The sequence below is a fragment of the Homo sapiens genome, chromosome 8 (assembly GCF_000001405.40).
Source record: "Homo sapiens chromosome 8, GRCh38.p14 Primary Assembly".
NCBI lineage: Eukaryota > Metazoa > Chordata > Mammalia > Primates > Hominidae > Homo > Homo sapiens.
Genome location: NC_000008.11, coordinates 49,261,939 through 49,270,880, shown reverse-complemented (window position 1 = coordinate 49,270,880; position 8,942 = coordinate 49,261,939). Strand labels below are relative to the sequence as shown.

The window sequence follows — 8,942 nt, the reverse complement described above, 5'->3', positions numbered from 1 at the left end:
GTAGGGGAGAACACCATGGAAAGAAGGAAATCTCCAGCTGAACTTTGTGACAATTTGAACAGGGTGAGATACCTCTTGACCAGAAGTCGGGGGAGGGTGTGAAACTGGTGGGCAAACTCCACAGGCAGAGGACAAACCAAGCCCTTTTCTTTGGCAGCTGGGAGGCAGGTAGCCTGGGGCAAGTTTTCAAGCCCATCTCACCCACCTCCTGAAAACAGGCTCAGGGCTGTTAAGGGCAGCACAAGAGGAGTGAAACTGGCCCTTCAGTTTGCATGGGAGCTGGGTGAGACCTGTGACTGCCAGCTTTCCCCCACTTCCCTGACCACCTGCATGACTCAGCAGAGGTAGCCATAATCTTCCTAGGTACACAATTCTATTGACCTGGGAACCACCCCCCCATACCCAGAGCAGCCACAGCAAGACTCGCCCAAGGAGAGTCTGAGCTAAGACATCCCTAGCCCTGCCCCCACCTGATAGTCCTTCCCTACCCACCCTGGCAGCTGAAGACAAAGGGCATATACTCTTGGGAGTTCTAGGGCCCTTCCCACCACCAGTTCCTCTCCATACTACCACAGCTGATGCTCTCTAAAAGGCACCACCTCCTGGCAGAAGGCCAACCAGCACAAAAATAGAGCATTAAACCACCAAAGCTAAGACCCCTCATGAGTCCATTGCACCCCCACAACCACCTCCACCAGAACATGGTATCCATGGCTGAGAGACCCATCAATGGTACACATCACAGGACTCTGAGCAGACAACCCCCAGTACCAGCCCAGAGCTGGGTAGACTTGCTGGGTGGCTAGACCCAGAAGAGAAACAACAATCACTGCAGTTTGGCTCACAGGAAGTCACATCCATAGGAAAAGAGAGAAAGTACTACATCAAGAGAACACCCTGTGGGACAGAAGAACCTGAACAACAGCCTTCAGCCCTAGACCTTCCCCCTGACACAGCCTACCCAAATGAAAAGGAAGCAGAAAACCAACTCTGGTAATATCACAAAACAAGACTCTTTAAACCACCCGCCCCCCACAAATCACACTAGTTCACCAGCAATGGATCCAAACCAAGATGAAATATCTGTTTACCTGAAAAAGAATTCAGGAGGTTAATTATTAAGCTAATCAGGGAGGCACCAGAGAAAAGCAAAGCCCAATGCAAAGAAATCCAAAAAACAATACAAGAAGTGAAGAACGAAATATTCAAGGAAATAGATAGCTTAAAGAAAAAACAACTCAAAATTCAGGAAACATTGGACACACTTATAAAAATGCAAAATGCTCTGGAAAGTCTCAGCAATAGAATTGAACAATTAGAAGAAAGAAATTGAGAACTTGAAGACAAGGTCTTTGAATTAACCCAATCCCACAAAGACAAAGAAAAAAGAACAAGAAAATATGAACAAAGCCTCCAAGAAGTCTGGGATTATGTTACACAAACAAGCCTATGAATAATCAGTGTTCCTGAAGAAGAGAGAAATCTAAAAGTTCGGAAAACATATTTGGGGGAGTAATTGAGGAAAACTTCCCTGGCCTTGCTAGAGACCCAGACATCCAAATACAAGAAGCACAAAGAACACCCAGGAAATTCATTGCAAAAAGATCATCTCCTAGGCACATTGTCATGAGGTTATCCAAAGTTAAGATGAAGGAAAGAATCTTAGGAGCTGTGAGACAGATGCACCAGGTAACCTATAAAGGAAAACCTATCAGATTAACAGCAGATTTCTCAACAAAAATCCCTACAAGCTAGAAGGGACTGGGGACCTATCTTCAGCCTCCTCAAACAAAACAATTATCAGCCAAGAATGTTGTATCCACTGAAGCTAAGCATCATATATGAAGGAAAGATACAGTCTTTTTCAGACAAACAAATGCTGAGAGAATTTGCCACTACCAATCCAGCACTACAGAACAGCTAAAAGGAGCTCTAAATCTTGAAACAAATCTTGGAAACATATCAAAACAGAACCTCTTTAAAGTGTAAATCAAATAAGACCTATAAACAAAAATACAAGTTAAAAAGCAAAAAAAAAAAAAAGTACACAGGCAACAAATAGCATAATGAATGCAACAGTACCTCGCATCTCAATACTAACATTGAATGTAAATGGCCTAAATGCTCCACTTAAAAGATACAGAACCACAGAATGGATGAAAACTCACCAACCAATAATCTGCTGTCTTCAAAAGACTCACCTAACACATAAGGACTCACATAAACTTAAAGTAAAGGGTGGAAAAAGGCATTTCATGCAAATGGACACCAAAAGCAAGCAGGGGTAGCTATTCTTATATCAGACAAAACAAGCTTTAAAGCAACAGCAGTTAAAAGAGACAAAGAGGGAAATTATATAATGGTAAAAGGCATTGTCCAACAAAAAAATCACAATCCTAAACATATATGCACCTAACATTGGAGCTCCCAAATTTATAATATAATTACTAATAGACCTAGGAAATGAGATAGACAGCAACACAATAACAGTGGGGGACTTCAATACTCCACTGACAGCACTAGACAGGTCATCAAGATAGAAAGTCAACAAAGAAACAATGGATTTAAATTATACCTTTAAACAAATGGACTTAACAGATACATGCAGAACATTTCATTCAACAAATGCAGGACACACATTATATTCAACAGTGCATACAGCTTTCTCCAAGGTAGACCATAAAATGAGCCTCAATAAATTTAAGAAAATTGAAATTATATCAAGCACTCTCTCAGACCACAGTAGAAGAAAACTGGAAATCAACTCTAAAAGGAATGTTCAAAACCATGCAAATACATGGAATAAATAACTTGTTCGTGAATGAGCATTGGGTCAAAACCGAAATCAAGATTGAAATTTAAAAATTCTTCAAACTAAACAACAATAACGACACAACCTATTCAAACCTCTTGGTGGTGCTAAAGAGGAAAGTTCATAGCCCTAAACACCTACATCAAAAAGACTGAAAGAGCACAAACTGACATGCTAAGGTCACACCTCAAGACACTAGAGAAACAAGAACAAGCCAAACCCAAACCTAGCAGAAGAAAGGAAATAACCAAGATCAGAGCAGAAATAAATGAAATTGTACAAAAAAAGTACAAAAGATAAATGAAACAAAAAGCTGGTTCTTTGAAAAGATAAATAAAATTGATAGATTATTAGCAGGATTAACCAAGAAAAGAAGAGAGAAACTCCAAATAACCTCATTAAGAAACAAAACAGGAGATATTACAACTGGCACCACTGAAATACAAAAGATTATTCAAGGCTACTATGAACACCTTTACCCACATAAACTAGAAAACCTGGAAGAGATGGATAAATTTCTGGAAAAATACAATCTTCTAGCACAAATCAGGAAGAATTAGATACCCTGAACAGACCAAAAAAAGCAGTGAGATTGAAATGTTAATTTAAAAATTACTGGTTAAAAAAAAGTCCAGAACCAGATGGATTCATAGCAGAATTCTACCAGACATTCAAAGAAGAATCGGTACCAATTTTTTTGACACTATTCCACAAGATAGATAAAGAAGGAAACCTCCCTAATTCATTTTATGAAGCCAGCATCACCTTAATACCAAAACCAGAAAGGACATAACCACAAAAGAAAACTACAGCCTGATATCCTTGATGAACATAGATGCTAAAATCCTTAACAAAATACCATCTAACCAAATAGAACAACATATCAAAAAGATGATCCACCATGACTGAGTGGGTTTCATACCAGGGATGCAGGGACAGTTTAACATATGCAAGTCAACAAATGTGATACACCATATAAACAGAATTAAAAACAAAAATCACATGATCATCTCAATAGATGCAGTGAAAGTATTTGACAAAATTTGGCATCCCTGTATGGTTAAAACTCTCAGCAAAATCAGCATAAAAGGGACATACCCCAGTGTAATAAAAGCCATCTATGACAGACCAATGGCCAACATAATACTGAATGGGGAAGAGTTGAAAGCATTCCCTCTGAAAACTGGAACAAGATAAGGATGCCCATTCTCACCACTCCTCTTCAACATAGTACTGGAAATCCTAGCCAGAGCAATCAAACAAGAGAAAGAAATAAAGGGCATCCAAATCGATAAAAAGGAAGTCAAACTGTCACTGTTTGAGGATGATATGACTGTTTACCTTGAAAATCCTAAAGACTCCTCCAGAAAGCGCCTAGAACTGATATAAGAATTCAGCAGTTTCTGGATACAAGATTAAGGTACACAAATTAGCAGCCACCAAGGAGAAATTCAAATCAAGAACTCAAACCCTTTTACAATAGCTGCAAACAAACAAACAAACAAAAACACTTAGGCATACACCTAACCTAGGAGTCAGAAGACCTCTACAAGAAAAACTACAAAAAACTACTGAAAGAAATCATATTTCTTTCATGACACAAACAAATGGAAACACATCCCATACTCATGAATAGGTAGAATCAATACTGTGAAAATGACCCAAAGCAATCTACCAATTCAATGCAATCCCTATCAAAATACCACCATCATTCTTCACAGAATTAGAAAAAAACAAGTCTAAAATTCATATGGAACCAAAACAGAGCCTGCAGAGCCAAAGCAAGACTCAGCAAAAAGAACAAATCTGGAGGCATAACACCACCTGATTTCAAACTATACTATAAGGCCATAGTCACCAAAACAGTGTGGTACTGGTATAAAAATAGGCACATAGACCAATGGAACAGAATAGAGAACCCAAAAATAACCCAAATACTTAGTGCCAACTGATCTTTGACAAAGTAAACAATAACATAAAGTGGGGAAAGGAAACCCTTTTCAACAAATGGTGCTGGGATAATTGGCTAGCCACATGTAGGAGAATGAAACTGGATCCTCATCTCTCACCTTATACAAAAATCAACTCAAGATGGATTAAGAACTTAAATCTAAGACGTGAAACTATAAAAGTTCTAGAAGATAACATTGGAAAAACCCTTCTAGACATTGGCTTAGGCAAGGATTTCATGACCAAAACCTGAAAGCAAATGAAATAAAAACAAAGGAAAACAGTTGGGACTTAATTAAACTAAAGGGCTTTTGCAAGGCAAAAGGAACAGTCAGCAGAGAAAATAGACAACCAGCAGAGTGAGAGAAAATTTTCACAATCTATACATCTGACAAAGTACTAATATCCAGAATCTAAAACGAACTCAAACAAATCAGTAAGAAAAAAAAAAAAATCCCATCAAAAAAGTGGGCAAAGGACATGAATAGACAATTCTCAAAAGAAGATATACAAATGGCCAACAAACACATGAAAAAATTCTCAGCATCACTAATTATCAGGAAAATGCAAATCAAAACAATAATGTGATACCATCTTACTCCTGCAAGAATGGCCATAATAAAAAAATCAAAAAACAGTAGATATTGGCATGGATGTGGTCATCAGGGAACACTTCTACACTGCTGACGGGAGTGTAAACTAGTACAGCCACTATGGAAAACAATGTGGAGATTCCTTAAAGAATTAAAAGTAGAACTACCATTTGATCCAGCAATCCCACTACTGGGTATCTACCCAAAGGAAAAGAAGTCATTATACAAAAAAAGATACTTGCACATGCATGTTTATAGCAGCACAATTTACAACTGTAAAATCATGGAACAAACCCAAATGCCCATCAATCAACAAGTGGATAAAGAAACTGTGGGGGGTGTGTGTGTGTGTGTGTGTGTGTGTGTGTGTGTATACACATATATACACATCTATATATGAATATATATATGATGAAATACAATTCGACAATGAAAAGGAATGAATTAACAGCATTTGTAGCAACCTGGATGAGACTGTAGACTATTATTCTAAGTGAAGTAACTCAGGAATGGAAAACCAAACATCATATGTTCTCATTGATATGTGGGAGCTAAGCTACGAGGACGCAAAGGCATAGGAATGATAAAATGGACTTTGGAGACTTGGGGGGAAGACTGGGAGGGAGGCAAGGGCTGAAAGACTACTAACATGGTGCACTGTATACAGCTTGGATGATGGGTGCACCAAAATCTCACAAATCACCACTACAGAACTTAATCGTAATCAAATACCACCTGTACCCCAATAATTTATGGAAAAATTAATTTTAAAATAATGTAAAATTTGAAAACCTTCAATAAAATACTGGCAAACCAAATCCAGCAGCATATTAAAAAAACTTATCCACCACAATCAAGCTGGTTTCATCACCAAGATGCAAGGCTGGTTCAACACATGCAAATTAATAAATGTAATTCATCACATAAACAAAACTAAAGACAAAACCACATGATTATCTCAATACATGCAGAAAAGGCCTTTGATAAAATTCAACATCCCTTCATGTTAAAAACTCTCAATAAACTAGGCATTGGTGGAACATACCTCAAAATAATAAGAGCCATGTATGACAAACCCACAGCCAATATCATGCTGAATGGGCAAAAGCTGCAAGCATTCCCCTTGAAAACCATCACAAGACAAGGATGCCCTCTCTCACCACTCGTATTCAACATAGTATTGGAAGTTCTGGCCAGGGCAACCAGGCAAGAGAAAGAAATAAAGGGCATTCAAATAGGAAAAGAGGAAGTCAAACTGTCTCTGTTTTTGGATTACATGATCCTATATTTAAAAAACTGTCGTCTCAGCCCAAACGCCTCTTAGGCTGATAAGCAACTCTCTCTCCTTTTTTTCTATAGTTGGTTCCCTTGGGCCATCATCAGCAAATGTCCCCTGTGTTTAAGAAATAAAGTGTATTCAAATAGGAAGAGAGGAAGTCAAACTATCTCTGTTTGTGGATTACATGATCCTATATTTAGAAAACCCCATCGTCTCAGGCCAAAAGTTTCTTACGCTGATAAGCAACTCTCTTTCCATTTTTCTATAGTCAGTTCCCTTGGGCCATCATTAGCAAATGTCCCCTGTGTTTAAGAACTCATGTGATTATGTTCCTGGGGATAATCTCCTCATCTCAAGGTCCTTATGTTAGTCACCGCTGCAAAGTCCCTTTTGCCATGTAAAATAACATAATCACAAATTCTGGGATCAAGGTACGGATATCTTTGGAGGCATTATTCTGCCCTTTGCAGAGAGTAAAAGACAACATAGTGTACCACATTAGGTTTCTTATAGTGCTTCTTCCTGGAATGACAAATATCATTTCCATTTATGTTTTATTGGCCAAAGCAAGTCATATAGGCATGTCTGATTCCACAGCGCAGGGGTATATAATCAACATGCAAGAAAGAATATGGAATATGACAATAATCATACACTCTATCCAAGAGAGGCCAACTGCTTTACTGTGACACAAGGACACATGGAACTACTCAGGATGTACCATGAAAAAGACTTCAGGATGCAGAAAATATTAAGATGGGCATCTGTTTGGAAGGGAAATTTTTATACACTGTAGTAATATAAATAAACTACAAGTGCCACAGGAAAGAGTCAGACAAGTATCATAAAGGAATCTCATTGTAAATCATCTGAAAAGATTCATTCATTAATTTGAGGAAAGCCACGGAAGGTGTTTATGAGAGGTCGCCACAGAAGATGGAGATTTATAGCCAGATATTTTTCTCTTCATCTTTTAAAATCAGGCCTGTGTATCAGTTCCATGTGGAGGAATTCCTGACCTCTCAGTCATACCAGGGTAGGTTCAATACCTCTCCTCAGTTTCCATAATAATGTGATCCACATTTTTAAAAACCCCAAAACCTTGTTATGCCATTGTGTACTTTTAGGCAGAAAATTGTCTTCTTTATGCAGGTATCATATTGTAACGTATTTCATTGAAGTTGCTCAATAAACTTTGAATCAATAAAAGGATTTAAAGTCAGTGAAGAGCTGATGAATGGAAGTGTTCTAAAAATATGTGAGACAATAAGTATGTTTGCTAAAATATTGAGAAGTTAAAAGAAATTAGACCTGAAAAACATGTAATGAAGTTGAATTAATCCATTTCCTCAGCTGAACATATACCTATCATCTACTAAGCTCAGGCATGAGGCATGACATGAGAAAGGGTCTGTCCCATTAAGTAACAATGTAGTTATGTTAAGGGTTTCCACGTTTTTGGCATCTTGAACAAAGAACTGGACAAAACACACGAATAAAGCAAGGAATGAACGAAGTAACAAAAGCAGAGATTTATTGAAAAATGAAAGTACACTCTGCACAGTAGAAGTGGGTCCCATTAAGGTGGTTAAGAGCCTGGTTACAGAATTTTCAGGGCCTTAAATATCCTCAACACATTTCCCATTGGTTACTTGGTGTACACCCTATGTAAATGAAGTAGTGGCCCATGATCAGTCTGATTGGTTGCTGGAGGGGACCAATCAGAGGCTGAAGTGAAGATACGAAGACGTACTTTCAATTTTTCAACTGCCACGCAGAAAGAAAGGGGAAGGTTGCAAAGAGTCCTTTTGTTACTTAGGAGTGGAAAGTTGGAATTTTCCTTTTGATTGAGTTCTAGGAAGTCAGCATGAATCTACCTTAGGTTTCCTTTCTCCAGACCCTATTCTGCCCTCAGTAAGCCATGTCAGGACATCAACCCAATGTACCCTATCCAGGAAAACCATAGATGTCAAATAAATGTCAGACAGATGCAAAAAGATAACATGAACTGTGAAGTTAATGTTTAAACAAGCATGTTGATCCACTATAATTAGGGTTAATGTACTATTCAACAACTGTCCCTATATATGTATATATGTTAACCTTTCTCTTCTCTTTGAGTGGACCTCATTTCGTTGACACTTAAATGAGAAAATATCTGCCATTTAAATAAACACTTTGTTTTAAACATGGCTTTTCAAGATCATAAGAAATATACTTTAATCTTGTGCAAAAAAGACATTATCCACCATTTGAATCTCTGTGCCCATATGTTTCTATGTTTAGATTATGTGTTTTTACATCTCAC

At 38.0% G+C, this 8,942-nt stretch overlaps 1 annotated feature.

Moving 5' to 3' along the window:
• Positions 6,757-7,051: a silencer, noted in NCBI's record as "tiled region #5408; HepG2 Repressive non-DNase unmatched - State 24:Quies". NCBI's record gives its function as "represses a minimal TATA promoter and a strong SV40 promoter by Sharpr-MPRA in HepG2 cells {active_cell/tissue: HepG2}" and the evidence as "EXISTENCE:reporter gene assay evidence [ECO:0000049][PMID:27701403]".